The 16727-nt window shown below is 44.4% G+C and overlaps 1 protein-coding gene across 28 annotated transcripts in view, besides 1 other annotated feature; it reads left to right on the top strand.

Annotated features, from left to right (window-relative positions):
- Window positions 1-16727, top strand: part of ACSL1 (acyl-CoA synthetase long chain family member 1) — a 71000-nt gene that overhangs the window by 30211 nt on the left and 24062 nt on the right. For 20 of the 28 annotated variants that reach the window (NR_167702.1, NR_167703.1, NR_167706.1 and 17 more), the window contains 3 exons: window positions 7653-7767; window positions 12393-12457; window positions 15951-16052. Coding sequence is in view for 20 of the 28 variants with exons in the window: in XM_017007887.2 (XP_016863376.1) it covers window positions 7653-7767; window positions 12393-12457; window positions 15951-16052 (282 nt within the window). In the remaining 8 variants the exon portion in view is untranslated. Of the gene's footprint in view, window positions 1-7652; window positions 7768-7870; window positions 8006-12392; window positions 12458-15950; window positions 16063-16727 lie in introns of all 28 variants that reach the window. The other 8 variants (NR_167704.1, NR_167705.1, NR_167708.1 and 5 more) reach the window with 4 other exon arrangements.
- Window positions 13228-13447: an enhancer, noted in NCBI's record as "active region_22233". NCBI's record gives its function as "activates an Ori minimal core promoter by ATAC-STARR-seq in GM12878 lymphoblastoid cells {active_cell/tissue: GM12878}" and the evidence as "EXISTENCE:reporter gene assay evidence [ECO:0000049][PMID:35858748]".

Below are 16727 nucleotides of genomic sequence, written 5' to 3'. Positions count from 1 at the left end.
TAGTCAGGGTTCTCTAGAGGGACAGAGCTAATAGGATGGATATATAGGAGTTTATTAAGGAGCATTAACTCACACCATCAAAAGGACCCAAAGTAGGCCATCTGCAAACTGAGGAGCAAGAAAGCCAGTCCGAGTCCCAACGCTGAAGGACTTGGAGTCTGATGTTCGAGGGCAGGAAGCATCCAGCACGGGAGAAAGATGTAGGCTGGGAGGCTAAGCCAGTCTAGTCTTTTCAAATTCCTCTGCCTGCTTTTAATTTTGGCCATGCTGGCAGCTGATTAGATTGTGCCCACCCAGATTAAGGGTGGGTCTGCCTTTCCCAGCCCACTGACTCAAATGTTAATCTCCTTTGGCAACACCCTCAACAGACACATCCAGGATCAATACTTCATATCCTTCGATCTAATCAAGTTGACACTCAGTATTAACCAGCATAGCTGGGATGGAGAGACTATGCTTAGAGGGGGTGTTTTTATTTAGAAATGTTATTCTGGCAGGGTGCAAACATCAGCATTTTCATGCCTTGAGGTAACTTCAGCACCTTTTCTAAAACTTAATGAGCTTCTTAATAACAAGTTATGAAAAACCTTGCTAAATTACATTTTCTTACAAATCTACATTACAGGAAACAATTGAGTTGCTTTCTAAGAGACTGTAAGACCTGTCTGCTGACTTAGGGACGCTTTTAGGTGGCTGAATTAGGTGGGAAAAGTGTTAGAGCTGGTAATGAGCAGTGGTGGTTGGGTGGGGTGGCCTGCAGGGTGAGAACTGAAGGCAGAGTTTCTGATCTTTATGCCAAGACCAGGCCACAGGAGTATTAAGTGCCTGGCTTAGGAATTTAAAGAAAGAAAGAGGTTGATTGTTATATTTAAAAAACTATTTCCGGGCTCTCTTTACCCAGGAAGAAAAAGCTAAAGGTCACTACAGATACGTAGGGAATATGATAAAGCAGGTCTGAAAACACAATTTGATTTTGTACAAATGATGTCGCTTCTCACAGGCTTCATTAAACAGAGAACGTGTTTGATGACAGAAACGCATAAAGGACGGAAATGCGTGCTGTAATATTTACTTATGTTTAAAAATAGCCAGATGGAACCAACTGGTGCCAAATGAAAAATGACCAGCGTAGGCTGTGTTTCTTGACAAAACACCTTCAGCACCCATTGTCCAAAAGCTGACCAAAGGTAGTAGATGGGAATGTGGCTCCCTTTGAACTAGGCAGAAGTGAAGCAGATGCCTTGTATATTCAAATGGTTGGCATGTAAATTTCTACGGGCAGTCCTATTTTCTGGAACAATGTGTATTTGTAGGAATTTGGACATTGTGACTTCAAATTTTCTTCCCTTTCATTGAGGCGGGTTTGTGGTCAGCTGATTTTTTTTCTGGTGATGAGATGTTTTGCGAAGTACCGTGTCAGCCTCCTACCCCTACCCCCGTCCCTCTTCAGCAAATCCTCTGGGATAGTGGGGAGCCGGGAAGTTGGAAACTGGAGATGGACTAGGAATGAAAAGAAAAAAGGTTCTGAGGGTTAGGAGCAAGTGTTGAAAAATCAGAAAACCCAGCCAGGCACAGGTGACCTGGACCCCGCCTCCTCAAGGATGAAGGATGTCTCCACACACAGACGAAGGAGGTGTGGGCATGTTTGGGACCTGCCTGTGAACCGCCAAGCAAACCTTGACGTACCTGGATGTCTCATTGAGCTAGGTTCGAAGCTCTGCTCCACTATGTGGTGGACATGGGACTGAGAAGGGAAGCAGCCCCCCCAAGTCTGAGCTTCCTCATCTGGAGAGGGGCTGGCCTTTAGCAGGCTCCATACACATTCACTCACCTCCCATCTTTCCTGCATGCCAGTGTCAGGATAGTTCTGCCCTTCTGTGCTCAGCTGGGAGGAAAGGATCTTGGGAAGTCAGCTAGTTCAGTAGTGAGTACGAATAGTGAGCGTGAGGCCTCATTGTTACCTTGTGACATTTACAGTTCACTGTATTGGGGGGAATCTGGGAATTTTAAAAATATCTGTCCATTGTCATTTAGAAATTATTGTGGAGGGGGAGTTGCCCAGGGGCTGGCCTTTAAAAGACCTAGTGTAATATATCAAAGATGTAGTCTGCTAGATATGAGAATTGATGGCCAGAGTTCCTCTCTGAAAGGTCACTGGATGGAAAAGTAGTTTTGTGTCTTTACAAAAAGAAGCACATGATGGAGTTCTGAGCAGGCTAAGATGCGTGTAAAATGTAAATGCTGAGAAGGACGCGGTTGGCGCTCTGTATCCGTGGATTAAAAATATTCCATGGAAATAAATGGATGGTATTGTCTATTGAACATTGCCAGACATTTTTTCCTTGTCATTATTCCCTGAACAATACGGTATAACAGCTACTTATTTACATCATATTAGGTATTGTGAGTAATATAGAGACCATTTAGAGTATACAGAAAGATGTGCATAGGTTATATGCAAATACTATGCCATTTTATATCAGGGACTTGAGCATCTGGATTTGGGTATCCTGAAGGGGAACAGCTGTATAGACCACATGTTAGGTATTAGAAGGAACAAAAAGGAATCATTTTTACCCCCGGACTGTGGTTCTACATGCTCCTTTGCACCCTAGAGATGGATCCCGCATTAGAACCCAGCCACGTCTTTGGCAGTCTCTTTAGAAGTTACTTGGCTCTGCCTCTCCCCCTTCTACTCCTTGCCCTCCTCTCTCTCACTCTCCCTTCTCACTTTCGCCCTGCGTCCACCTCCCTATCCCTCTCCTGCATAAACAGTAGCAACACAAGGGGCATTTAACTGCTATGGCTGGCAGATGCCCATTTGGAGATGGAGATGAATGAGTCTATGAGTGGTAAAGCTTGGGCTTCTCTACCCCTAAGAAATCCTCAACGGCATCATTTGCTTTTGCACTTAAATAGGAGAGTGGCACAAAATAACTGGCCATCGCGTTCCTGTTAGTCAAATATTGGTGAGAGTTCTGGCCTCGGAAACCTTTGATATGCAGATGTTCACGGTTTTCCTGCCCTTCCTGCCCCCAAGGGGGACTTGAACTTGTTTCCTAATTCAGCCCTTGTGGGGAGACTGACCTCAGGAGGAACCTGAGCTTGTAGAGATGTTGCGGAATATACTCATGACCACCGATTTCACTGTAGTGGGTTTGACTCACTATCTTTTTTTTTTTTTTTTTTAACTGGGAACACTATGTAACCACATTAAAGAGGTCTATAGCAGGAGGAATAAAAGACTCCTAAAGCCTGCTGACTCACTGGCTCATGACTGATTTCCTACACATTCAGCTGGGGTTGTCTGCTTTGCTTGCCCTGTTTCTTGAGCCCAAGCGACCCACACACACTGCCTGCTGATCAGTAGGTTATGTCAGAAGGCCGTAAGGGCCAAATTTAAGCTATTTTTCATTTAAATAGGCGTCCCTAGAAATAGCTACGTGGACTTACCTAATATAGTATTTAAGTCCCCAGCTTTTGAAGTGATTCTGTCTTGTAAAACCTACAAGCATTTCAGACTCCAATTGTTACAGCTTTGCTTCCCAGCACTCAGCTTGCAACCCCTTGCTTGTGTAGATATAACTAAGGTTGCTAACACCCTTTTTTAAATATAGCATTTCTGTTCAAAAAATAGCAACACTGGGCCAGGCGCAGTGGCTCACACCTGTCATCCCAATACTTTGGGAGGCCTAGGCGGAAGGATCCCTTGAGCCCAGGAGTTTGAGACCAGCCTGGGCAACATAGTGAGACCTTGCCTCTACAAATAATAAACAGATTAGCCAAGCAAGGTGGCACGTGTCTGTGGTTTCAGCTACTCAGGAGGCTAAGTGCGAGGATTGCTTGAGCTCAGTCAGACGGTTGAGACGGCAGTGAGCTCTGATAATGCCACTGAACTCTAGCCTGGGCGACAGAGCCTGCCCCTGTTTCGGGAAAAAAAAATAATTCATTATTAGAATGTGTGGTCTTTTCATAGAGCCACAGATTTTGAAGCACAGATCCTAATGTTTTGTGCCCTTCCCCTTCTTATTCAACCCCCTTTCTTGAAATTACAGTTATGTCTGACAACTGAGTGACAGTGTGACCTTTTATCCCGTATCATCGAGCCTTCAATTAGTGTCTCCTTTTGACAGATGTCTCATTTACTGCTTCATTTTCAAGCTTTTCTCATTATTCTAATTGCTAATTAGGGTAATAATAAATATCTTGCCCCAGGTTACATGTCAAGATGTTGCTTTATTGGGGATATCATTCACTTCTTTAACTTTGATTTAGCTTGTTTGCCTCCATGTTTCTCGGATTCCAGAAGATTATACACCACCAAAAACTTAAACCTAACTAAAAAATTATTTAGCTAAAAGTTTGTTATAAAATGGTCCTCCAGAGCAGTGGTTCTCAAAATAAAATTTGGGACATTGACCAAGGTGGTTGACCTGTCTTGAAGGGATATGGTCTCTGTATGTCCAAAGCTAAACTTCATCTCTTTTCTGAAGCCTACCCCCAGTACCCAGTCTTCTATTTGATTAAAGGGGACAGTTTTTCTTCTCAGCCCTCCTTCTTTCTGCTTACACCCCATTACCTGTTAAATCCTGTTCCTGAGTGCTGCAGCACGCCCAGTGCCTTGGTCCTTCCCGGCTCCCAACTCCCACTGCCCTATCCAGGTCTGTAGGAGTTGGTTTCTCCCCAGTCTCTTCCCTCCCTCCTGTTCCACACACTGCTTACGCTTCTTGTAGATTTCTTTCTAACCCATTAGCCCATCCTCACCACTTCCCTGCTGAAAACTTCCCTGCTGGAAACCTGCTGTCCCTAGGAAGGTGCTTCTCAAACTTTAGCATCCCCTGGAGGGCTTCTTAAAGCACAGATTGCTGGATCGCATCCCCAGAGTTTCGGATTCAGCAGGTCTGGTGTGATTTGCTTTCCTAACCAGTGCCAGGTGTTCCGCAGAGCACACTTTGAGAAGCTTGGCTCTAGAATGAGCCTGTGCACCTGAGATTTCAGGCTTGCTTCTGTCTGTTCATCCTGACTCTCCCTGCACTCTTCTGCTCAGCCAGGGTTCCCTGGAGTCCCTGTGGTCACTTAGAGACAAGACGTGGGCTCCTTCAGAACAAGCTTGTGTCTTGTTCACCTTATCCCCATCTGCCCATTCACAGCTAGGGGAACTCCTCTGCAGAGTGCAGAAAGTGGTGTTGCTTTTGAAGAGAGAGCACTGAAAAAGACCATGAATGCATTTCTGTTGTGTCAAGAGGTATAGAAGGCACCTTTGTAAGCAGAGCATCGTGAGGACCTCCCTGTGGGCGGCCAGGCCACCTGCATGTCTAGGCCATGCTGAGACAACCACACTTCACCATCATACTTGGTACTTTTCTTATCTCTTTTCACACCCACTCATTCTTCCTGTTTTCTCTCATTTTGTCCTTTCCCCCTTTCTCTTCCTACCTTAGCCTTGGTGCCTTCGGTGTGTTTGGTGGCTTCATGGGTTGAAAAGGCTTCTGATATTCACTACAAAGCCACAAAATTGCTTCTGAATTTCAGGCTATTTGTTGGAGTCAAGACTGAGGTGATGGAGGACTTGTACTGTAGTTAGAGCATGTTATCGGGTGCACAAGTAATATTCTACACAATCATATTTTACAGGAAAGTTCCTCTTTAACAAAAAATAACCCTGGAAGTGGACTCATGATGTCTCCATTTTACAGAAAAGAAAACAGACTCAGCGATTAAGTAACAATAATGCGTGACACTAAGCAAAGATATTCTCCCATTCTTATGCACACAGAGAATAACGTTTTTGCTTCATAAAGTAGTGTGCTGTAGTTAGTAAGCATGTTTGGAATCACAGCCATAGGTGTTAGAAAGTTTCTGCCGAGAGAGAAGACATTGTGATGATTAAAAGATATGGTTAGGTCATATTTACTCCAGAAAACTATTAGCAGTTTGGGATCAAGAGTGAAATACACACATGTAGCACACAGTAGATATTGACAGAATGTCTATAAATGTATAAGCATAAAAAAAAGACTGGGAGGAATTTACCAAACTACTAATAGTCATCATTTTTCCTTGATATACTTCTGTATCACTTAAATGTTTTTAAACAGTATATACATTATAACTTAAGGGTGGACAAAAAGCAAAAGAGCTTGTAGGAAGAGAAATGGATAATCCTAATAAAAATAGAAGAGTCCATGGAAACAGATCAGGCAGTCATCCCCTTCTAAAGGGTCTCCCTGTGAGTTCATCCCCTGGCACCCATCCACTTCCTCCTCAGCGCGGCCCTCCTCAGCCTGCCGCCCTACTCTGAGACCTAGCTTTTCCACACTTCTTTTTGGTGTCTCCTGTTTTGTTTCATCACACCTTAAGCCAGAAACGATCTCTTCCACTTTTGGACAGCTCTCTCCTCTTGGTACCAGAGGTTATCATATCACAGTCTAATTTCTCCAAGGGTTTCCAGACTGTTGTAAAAGTGAAGGCCCCTCTCTGAAATTAAAAAAAAAAAAAAAGGTAGGCTCTAACGTCATAGTCACTGAGCTTTTATTTATCAGTCTCTAAAGACTGCTTTTTGGCTTTCTGTGGATGTCTGGATGCCTTACAGTGTCCTTTGGCCCCAGAGGACTCAGCAGCTCACATTGGAGACCTGCTACCTGTAAAGACTACTGCTGCTACTGTGGGAGGCTAGGCCCTGCCGCCTTATCCATCATTAGGAGTTCTTGCACATAGCAAATATACTCAGGAAGCTAACAGATGAAGACGACTTAGAGAAAGGTGCACAGCGATGTCAAATCTGCACACCTATAAATGTTGCACCTAAAACTAATAAAGACCTGTGTCTGCACATGCATATGTTTTGTAGCTGATGATTTTAACTGTTAGAGATGCTATGCAAGAAAGTGAAGTTTCTAACAGATGATATTGCGCTTGGTGAGGAGATAAAATAGTGGAAATAGTCTCAAAAAGAATATAGGTAACATTTTAGAAGTATAACCAAATGGGGTTTCATTTCCACCAGAGCTGAACAGGATCAGTCCTCTGTGCTGTGGATGGCAGTGGCTTGAGAACTGTCAATGTGTGTAGTGGTGGCAGTTTGTGGCTCTTCTCTTGCTCTCTTTGGCCTTATCCGGCAGGACCAGCACTTGTAGGTCTGTAAACCTGTTTTCTCTCTTCAGGCATCTTTCTGACTTAGCCGTGGTTCCCCGAAGCCTGTGTTTACCTCCAGGCGAATGATTGGTTTACATCAGCACATCTTGCACTGCAGTCTTTCAGCACTCACTCACTGGGCAGCTGTTCCGCAGGTGGCCGCCTAGAGGGGTGCGGATACCACAGGGGCATATTAGACTTTATATTTAATTTTTAAGCATTTTATTTTTTAATGGACAAATACAAATTATGTGTATTTATGGTGTATAATAGGAACGAGTTCAGGACATCTATTTTTAATAAAAATGGTGACCATGTTCACTATTAGTTGGTGACTGTAGTTAATAACAATGTACCATATACCTGAAATTACTAAGAGAATAGATTTTAAGTGTTCTCACTACAGATAAGTGACAAGAATGTAAAGGAATGGATATGTTAATTAGCTTGATTTAGCCATTCCACAGTGCATAGATGTTTCACTGCCTTCTAACCTGCCCCCCTTTCTTTTTTGATAGGGTAGTGGTGGTGCACGAAGATCCGCACTACTTGACAGCGACGAGCCCTTGGTGTATTTCTATGATGATGTCACAACATTATACGAAGGTTTCCAGAGGGGAATACAGGTGTCAAGTAAGCATTTTCCTGCATTTGCGTGGCTCCCGCTCGCCGTGTTTCATGAAGAACGAGTGGCCTTTCAGAAATGCACATTTGCTCCTATCTTTCGCCTCCTTAGGATCGCTCAGGCCCCTCTGTGTCCACTGTAACTTTCCCAGAGTCGGTCCCAAAGCTCACTGGACCCTCTAGATGTTCCCTGTGGCCCTGGGGGCTCCATGGTCAAATATGTGAGTGTCACATCCTGTATTTTATGGTGAGTCACATGTTACACCAGTGCACAATAGGCTCTGACGTTTCCTGCAATAAAGAGGTCTGTTGAACTGGGCCCAATCCGGCATTTTTCATGCTTACTTGACCATGAGACCCATATTTTGAGAAAGAAATACTGACATCCCAGGATGGCAGTGTTCTGTTAAAGATACTTGGGAAATGTTGGCTCATGGGATTACCCTTAATTATTAACTGTAGTGTAAGAAACCCTGTGATATCCAGCATACCTCCTTTCCAGCCTCTGTCCCTCCCAGGCCTCCTGTATAGGGCCCTCAGGTCATACTGAACTTCCTGCAGAGCCACGACTACCTCTGCTCTCTCCCAGCCCTGAGGCTTTGTGCAGTTCTATTTTGCTTTTTAGAAATGGGGTCTTGCTATGTTGCCCAGGCTGGACTCAAACTTCTGACCTCAAGTGAGTCTCCTGCCTCAGCCTCCCAAAGCACTGGGACTACAGGTGTGAGCCACCATGCCCAGACTTGTGCACTTTTTTTTTTCTTTGGACGGAGTTTTGCTCTTGTTGCCCAGGCTGGAGTGCAATGGCATGATCTTGGCTCACCGCAGCCTACACCTCCTGGGTTCAAGTGATTCTCCTGCCTCAGCCTCCTGAGTAGCTGGGATTACAGGCATGCACCACCACGCCCAGCTAATTTTGTATTTTTTAATAGAGATGGGGTTTCTCCATGTTGGTCAGGCTGGTCTCAAACTCCTAATCTCAGGTGATCCACCCACCTCGGCCTCCCAAAGTGCTGGAATTACAGGCGCGAGTCACCATGCCCGGCCATGCACTTTTTTTTCTTGATCATAAAGCCTCTTTCTACCCCCAGCCTGGGTGCTTGATGTATTCTTTAATCTTACAAAACTCACTGCATTTCACCTTTTCTCTAAAACCTTCCTAGTCTATCATTTTCATCCCCTACCTCTGAGTGAAGCATTTCTTCCCTTTTCCCTCCCAGCATGTTATATTCCTTCTGCATAACTCCTGATGGCACAGAGGTGTTCACCTGGCATTCTGCCCCCCTAGCCCGAGCTCCTTGAGAACAGGGTGGTTATCAGTCATCTCTTTTCACAGCACTGACAGTGCCTGGCACACAGTGAGCGCCCCACTAATGCATCCTCAGTGAAGGAGGGAGTACCTCTGGTTTCTCCACCCCTCTTTCTATTTTAGCCACTTCATTTTTGCTTATACCAGGTACTTGTCTAAAAATGGTCTTGGAATCTGTGCTTTGTTATTTAAATCCTCTGATGCTTAGCTTTTATTTGGGCCACTGCTAGCTACATTGTAATCTTTTTACGGTCAGGAACCATGTGGTATTGCTGGCTCTATCCCTCATGATAGGTTGCATGTAATATGCACTCAAGAAGTGCCTATTGGCCGGGCATGGTGGCTCACACCTGTAATCCCAGCACTTTGGGAGGCCAAGGCGGGCAGGTCACGAGGTCAGGAGTTCGAGACCAGCCTGACCAACATGGTGAAACTCCGTCTCTACTAAAAATACAAAAGTTAGCTGGGCATGGTGGTGCATGTCTGTAACCCCCGCTACTCAGGAGGCTGAGGCAGGAGAATCGCTTGAACCGGAGAGGTGGAGGTTGCAGTGAGCCAGGATTGCACCATTGTACTCCAGCCTGGGTGACACAGCGAGACTCCGTCTCAAAAAAAAAAAAAAAAAAAGAAAGTGCCTATTGTTTTTTACTTGACACTGGTAACATTGGATGTCTCAGCTTGGCGAGTTTGTCCCAGTGTTCCCATAGCACGTGCATTAAGCCCTATTACAAAGGAAAAGCAAGCTTACTTGTGTATTATTTAATTTATGAACATTCTCAAAGTTGGTGTCAAGGTCAGGGTTTGTCTGTGATAGTAAATATCCATCAGGTGGATCAGCCTAACATATGGCACATGAAACAGTGTGTGTGTGTGTGTGTGTGTGTGTGTGTGTGTGTGTGTGCTTTGCCACCACCACAGAGCACATATACGGTAAGTCCTCAGTTAATGTCTTTGATGGGTTCTTGGAAACTGTAACTTGAAAACCACTATAATGAAACCAGTTTTTCCCATAGGCTAATTGATACGAACAGGAGTTACATTCCCACAGCGTATTTCTAGTCACAAAAACATCACCAAACTTCTAAATAAAGACCACGCTTCTTATGTTAAACATGAAATAAATGTGAGCGATACAGACATTTAGGAACAATTGATAAAAATAAGATATTTACCTGTTTATTCCAGTTAAGGGTCGTGGGCGGCTGGAGCCCATCTGGGCAGCTCAGGATGTCAGGTGGGAACTGCCCTGGCCAGGACACCCTCCCATCGTAGGGAGACTCATACTCACACCCACTCACACTCACACACTCACTCCGCTCACCCACACTCACTAGGACCGTAGAGATGCACCAGTTCACCTCACAGGCACAGCTTTGGGATGTGGGAGGAACCCAGAGTTCCCAGGAAAAACCACATAGATGTGAGGAGAACGTGCAAATGAAATGCCGTTATTTGAGGACCTGCTGTATACATGTAAATGTATATACATTCATCGAGGAGCATGGTGACTTACTTTATGCTTTTGACTCTCCTCTGATCTGAAGACAAGTCACATAACTTTTCTTTGGTCGCTTGCTCCCCCTGGAAAATGAAAGTCCTTTTATGGATGTGTCAGAGAAGGTGAAGGAAAGTATGTCCAGTCTTCTTGATCTGTACTCATTGAAGGGAGCTGCTTTGCAGGTCTCGATTTGCTTCCTTCCCCCCCCCCCCCCCGCCCCCGCCCAGGAGGATCTTTTTATTCTAAGCTTTGATTTTCTTAGGCTACTGTAGAATTAAACTGAAACAAAAGAGCAAGACCCAGCACTTGGATAAGGGGTCAGAAGTTTGTTGAATGATAGAAGCAGCCCGCCTAGAGTTTTTAAACCTAGTACTTTAAAACTGCACCAAGGAAGCCATTTATAAAGATTGAGCTCCCTGCTTCTCAGTGGCTCTCATCTCTAGCTGCACTTTTGTGCCATCGGGGAGCTTCTAAAAAATACTGAGGCCCAGGCCCCATCCCTATTCAACTGAATAAAAAATTCTAGAGCCTGGGTATAGTAGAACCTGGTATAGTATCAAGTTCCCCTGGTGAGCCTGCAGCTTAACGGCTAGTTCTGGAGCTGGAGCTGGCATATGTTTTCTGTAAAAAGCCTGGTAGTAAATATTTTTGGCTTTGGTGCCATATGGTCTTGGTTGCAACTACTCAACTGCAGCCTCACACAGAACAAAAATGAATGAGTGTGGCTGTGTGCCACTATCACTGTGTCTACAAAAACAGCCAGTGGGCCTGATTTGGCCCTTGGCTGCAGTGCGCCCGTCTCTGTTTTTGAGGAATAAAATCGCATCATTTCATATGGCTAATGCAATTTTTTTCCCATCTGGAAGCAACATCTGATTGGACTCATCTTGTATGGTGCTTGTTACAGTCTCTGTAAATGGGAGAGGGTCCGAGAATAGCTCTTCCTGTTTTCATCAGGACTGTTTTTAGGGATGGCAAAGAAGTCAGTGTGTCCAGCCTGTGTCCTCCTCAGCCACGTGGCTGATTCCTGAATCTGCATGTGCAGCACACTGCCGTTGTCTGGGGCATGATCTGTGTGATGGGGCCAGCCCTGCCTTCCATCCTACTTCCTTAGGTCCTCATGTCAAATCAGAGCCTCCTCACGAACACTCAGACCTAATATGCTAAAGCCAGATGCACTATGGTCCCCTTTTGCTTCTTTGAAACCTGAATAGGAATCGGGAAACATCTCGGTATTTCCTAACTTTTGCTTCCCAGATACCGCTTCACGTCACCTCATTTTGCATCTTTTCTTTGTTTTTGTTTTTCTGCAATCATGACTTCACCCATGTAACTAGGATTCCAGGTAATTCTTGATACCTTTGGTCATCAAAATTTGGACACATAAAGAATTATATTTTCCTTTCCGTATTCTGAATTAGAATGCTTTAGACTTCTTGAAAAGTTTTGATGAATACCTCTTCTGAAAAGGTATCTGTTTACCACTACAGCAGGTTCTCTTTACCACTCATCTGCTGACTCCTGGTCTAAACCAGTAGGGTGTTAAAGAGGAATCACAAATTAAGTGCCCTTAAGAGTTGGATATTGCCTTTTCTCCCCTCTGTCCCCCTCTCCTGCCCCACTTAAACAAAACAGAAATAAACAAGCAAAGAAAAAATCAGACCAAAACTGAGGGAGAAAACATTTCCAATCTGAAGCCACCATTTCTTATCTGAGGACTAAAGTAGAGTCTAGCTGATGTTTAGTATTAGAGTGCGGTTGGGATACAAATTAAAATCTAGGAATATTTATGTACGTTCAGCCCATCTGTTGTTTTTTCTCTTTTTTTAGATAATGGCCCTTGTTTAGGCTCTCGGAAACCAGACCAACCCTATGAATGGCTTTCATATAAACAGGTGAGTTTGTATGAGACAGGCTCTGTGGACTCCTCTTGCAAGCAGGGGTGCTTCTGTATGTGCATTCTTGGAGCCGGAAGGTTTCTCCAGAGTGTATGTGCTGGACCAGCTCAGAGCCTTGCCGTAAGCATGGGGCATCCAAGGAGAAACTTGACACAAAGGTTTGGGGAGAACAAGTTAAGGAATTTAACAGGTGGTTCAAAGCATTGTATTTCAAAGCTGATGTGGATACATTGTGAAGTCAAGTATAATTTTTAAGATAAAATTCTAGAAACTCTCCCGGTCCCCCTGGCGGCATAGCATTATTTCTCTCCACTTGAGGGGTACTAGAAAAACTCAGAAGCTGGAACGTGGGAATACATCTTCATTTCACAGATGAGGAGGACCTGTCTCAGGAAAAGAGGTGACTCACCCAAGGTTATAGCTGGTTAGTGGCAGAACCAGGACCAGAAGCAAGGCCTGCAGCCTCTTGTGTAGGCTTTCCTAGTGCATGCTGCTGACCCTCAAAGCTGTCCTTGGCCAACTCACCACCTGTGTGACACTTACCCCCAGGCAGCTGTAGGGAGGAACACAGATGTTCGGGGAAGGCACTTGTGTTACTGTATAAGCACAAAGGAAGCTGGGATCTGAGTATGGTGGCCCTTGTCGGTCTCTAGTCCCCACCCATCAACGGCTACAGCTGTTGAAACAGCGGCTCATGAGTGGCAGTAGCAGTGCAGGAAGACGTTGCTGTTTATTTTTATTTTTATCATGATTACAATGAATGTGGGTGCCACAGCTCTTCCCCAGTCCACACGGCACCCCGGAACAGGCACGTGCTCCAGACAGGCCAGCTCTGCTGCCTGCTGCTTCCACACAGCTGTCCAGGAAAGGCTCCCGTCCCTGGCCCCCCTTCTCCTGCTCTCGGGGCAGGTAATCATGCGGATTCATGAATACAAATGCACTTCCTCCTTCTGGGTTTTGTGTGAAGGGCAGCTTAGGAGCTGGTGTATTTGGGGTGCGTCTGTGGAAGGGATCGTTCTCTGCAGCCTCGGAGCCACACTCCTGCAGTAGTGCTTGTTGGTTCTTCTCAGACTGAAGTGCATGATTTCTCCCCGTCCGTCCTCTGGGGTCGACAGGATGCAGAAGGCTTTGCTTGAGAGGTGTTCATCTGTCTCTCAAGAGAAGGGGAAGCAACTTCTCACACCTCCCCTGTAGAAGGAGCTAGGGGCAGTATCTCACATGATTGGAAGGATTTCCCATTTTTATTCTGTCCTGTCAGAGCCAAATAGTAGTTTCTTGCACAAATAGTAGTTTCCAGGATCCCTCATTTTCACAAGTGTAAGAACAGCCTGTGTGTGTTGAACATGTGTGTGTTGTGTGTGATGGTCCTGAGGCATCATGGAATCCTCTGTGCCTCCTGGGTTACTTCTGTTGTTTAGTGGCTGGAAGAGAGAAGACACGTCCATTGCAGATAGGCGTTTTCAAGGCAGATTGAAAATCACTGGGGTTTCTGAAGGTGTGAATCTATGACTTGCACACTTCATTTGGAAGCAGGTGAAGATACAAAACTGAAGCCAACTTTGGATTTGTACATTCAAATCTTTTTTTTTTTTTCAGTCATCCAATGAATATGACCTTTTGGTGGCTAGGAATGCCTTAAAGGGTTGTTTTTTTTTTTTTAAGAATGTATGACCGATCTAGAAATATAAATGTGCGTGTATTATTCAATCATATTTACCAGCTGTATAGCATCCAATTGCAGGCTTTTCTCAGGCTCTGATTCCTTAAATGCAACCAAGACTTTTGAACTCGTCTGTGAAGGAGAGAGTAGTAATGAGCCTGTTTGTGTCATCCTATTGTCACCTTACCACGATCAGTCTGTTCCCCATAGGCAGGGCCAGGATGGTGCCAAGGCCCAGAACCAGTAGGGTTCCAGGCCAGGAGTAGGTATGGTCTTATTTCCTATGGGTATGGGTGTGCTTTAAGAGTACTCTTGAGAATTTGCGAACTGAGAATAAAGAAAATAACTCCAGGCCAGGCACGGTATGGCTCACGCCTATAATCCCAGCACTTTGGGAGGCCGACGGGGGCAGATCACCTGAGGTCAGGAGTTCAAGACCAGCCTGGCCAACATGGCAAAACCCTGTCTTTACTGAAAAATACAAAAATCAGCTGAGTGTGGTGGCAGGTGCCTGTAATCCCAGCTATTCTGGAGGCTGAGGCAGGGAGAATTTCTTGAACCCGTGAGGAGGAAGTTGCAGTGAGCCAAGACCATGCCCTTGTACTCCAGCTTGGGCAACAGAGTGAGACTATGTCTCAAAAAGAAAAAAAAAGAAAGAAACAAAGAAAAGAAAAAGGAAAAGAAAATAACTGCAAAGTTTAAGATTTTTTAAAAATTTTAGTTTATTTGGGGTAGGAACAGGGAGAGGATAGGATAACCCTGCTGAATTTTGCAAACCTATCAATTTTTACTTAGTTATTATAATATGCATTTTTATATTTACATGTGTTGCTTATCATTGTAATATTGTCCTAAGTTTGATAGTTTTCATAATTATAATATTTACTATGTAGCATTTTCTTAGTGATTTACCATCATTTACTTAATCATCCAGCCATGATTAGGTTTTTTACCCTAGAGATTTTTGATGCAATAATTTTGAAATATTTGCATATTGTTTATATGTAGGCTTTTTTTTTTTTTTTTTTTTTTTTGAGATGGAGTCTCGCCTGTCACCCAGGCTGGAGTGCGGTGGGGTGATCTCAGTGCACTGCAGACTCCGCCTCCTGGGTTCAAGCAATTCTGCCTCAGCCTCCTGAGTAGCTGGGATTACAGTTTCACGCCACCATGCCTGGCTAATTTTTTATTTTCAGTAGAGACGGGGTTTTACCATGTTGGCCAGGCTGGCCTCGAACTCCCTCAAGTGATCTGCCTGCCTCGGCCTCCCAAAGTGCTGGGATTATAGGCGTGAACCACCGTGCCTGGCCTGTATGTAGGCTTTTAAAAACCTCCTCCTGAGTTTGAATTGTTTCCTAAGAATACGTTCTCAAGAATGGAACTGTAGAACTTAAGGATAAGAGCTTGCTCTTATTTTTTATAGGTCTCTCAAAAGTTGCTGTTTCTGTGTTTATACCAAATAAACAAGTTTTGGCTGCTTTATAAATAAAACAAATCCATCTCTCTATCATTTTTAAAATTGTATAAAACTAAAATAGAAAAAAATGTATAAATAGCCCTGCCATATAATTGTCTGTGACCTGCAGCCATTGGGATAAGATTAATTTTCTTTGCAGAAGGAACCCTGCGGTCAGTTCTCTTAATTCTGATTTCTTGTGAATAAAACCTTGTGTTTTACCAAAAAATCTATCAATAAAGGAATACCTGCATGTTCCCTCTCCGTTTCTGTGTGCAGCATTGCTTGCTGGCTGAGATACAAGCCTGCCGTCTGGTCAGCTTTGTTTCTGGAGTTGGGGCCCAATGCTGCTTCTGACTTTTTCCTCTCCATTTTAGGTTGCAGAATTGTCGGAGTGCATAGGCTCAGCACTGATCCAGAAGGGCTTCAAGACTGCCCCAGATCAGTTCATTGGCATCTTTGCTCAAAATAGACCTGAGGTATGAACCAGTAGGTACTTGCTATGCATGATTTTGAGAATTCTCAGATATAAGAGCCTAACTTCTGCTAGAGACCAGATTTTGTAGTCTGATTTCTACTAAAAGTATAGCTTTACGTTACACCTTAGAAAGTTACACATATGAAAACCTCAACCAGGGCCGCTGGGCACAGTGGCTCACGCCTGTAATCCCAGCACTTTGTGAGGCCAAGGCGGGTGGGTCACCAGAGGTCGGGAGTTCCAGACCAGCCTGACCAACATGGAGAAACCCCATCTCTACTAAAAATACAAAATTAGCCAGGCCTGGTGGCACACATCTGTAATCCCAGCTACTCGGGAGGCTGAGGCAGGAGAATCGCTTGAATCCGGGAGGCAGAGGTTGCGGTGAGCCAAGATTGTGCCATTGCACTCCAGCCTGGGCAACAAGAGCGAAACTCCGTCTCAAAAAAAAAAAAAAAGAAAGGAAAACCTGAACCAGGGCCTTTTAATCGCCTTTAAGAGAAAAAAGAAATCACTTTTTTGGGGGGATTATTTTAGTTTTTTTAAACCAGGTTCCCAAATAAAATCCTTAGAACAGATAACTAACAAAGGAGTCTTTTTACTTTAAGAGTCACCTCTGTGGTTAGAAAAATGGCATTAATAAGTTATAGAGAGACTCAGATACATTTTTGTCAAT

The sequence above is a fragment of the Homo sapiens genome, chromosome 4 (genome assembly GCF_000001405.40).
Source record: "Homo sapiens chromosome 4, GRCh38.p14 Primary Assembly".
Classification (NCBI taxonomy): Eukaryota; Metazoa; Chordata; class Mammalia; order Primates; family Hominidae; genus Homo; species Homo sapiens.
This window is presented reverse-complemented; position numbering and strand designations above follow the sequence as displayed.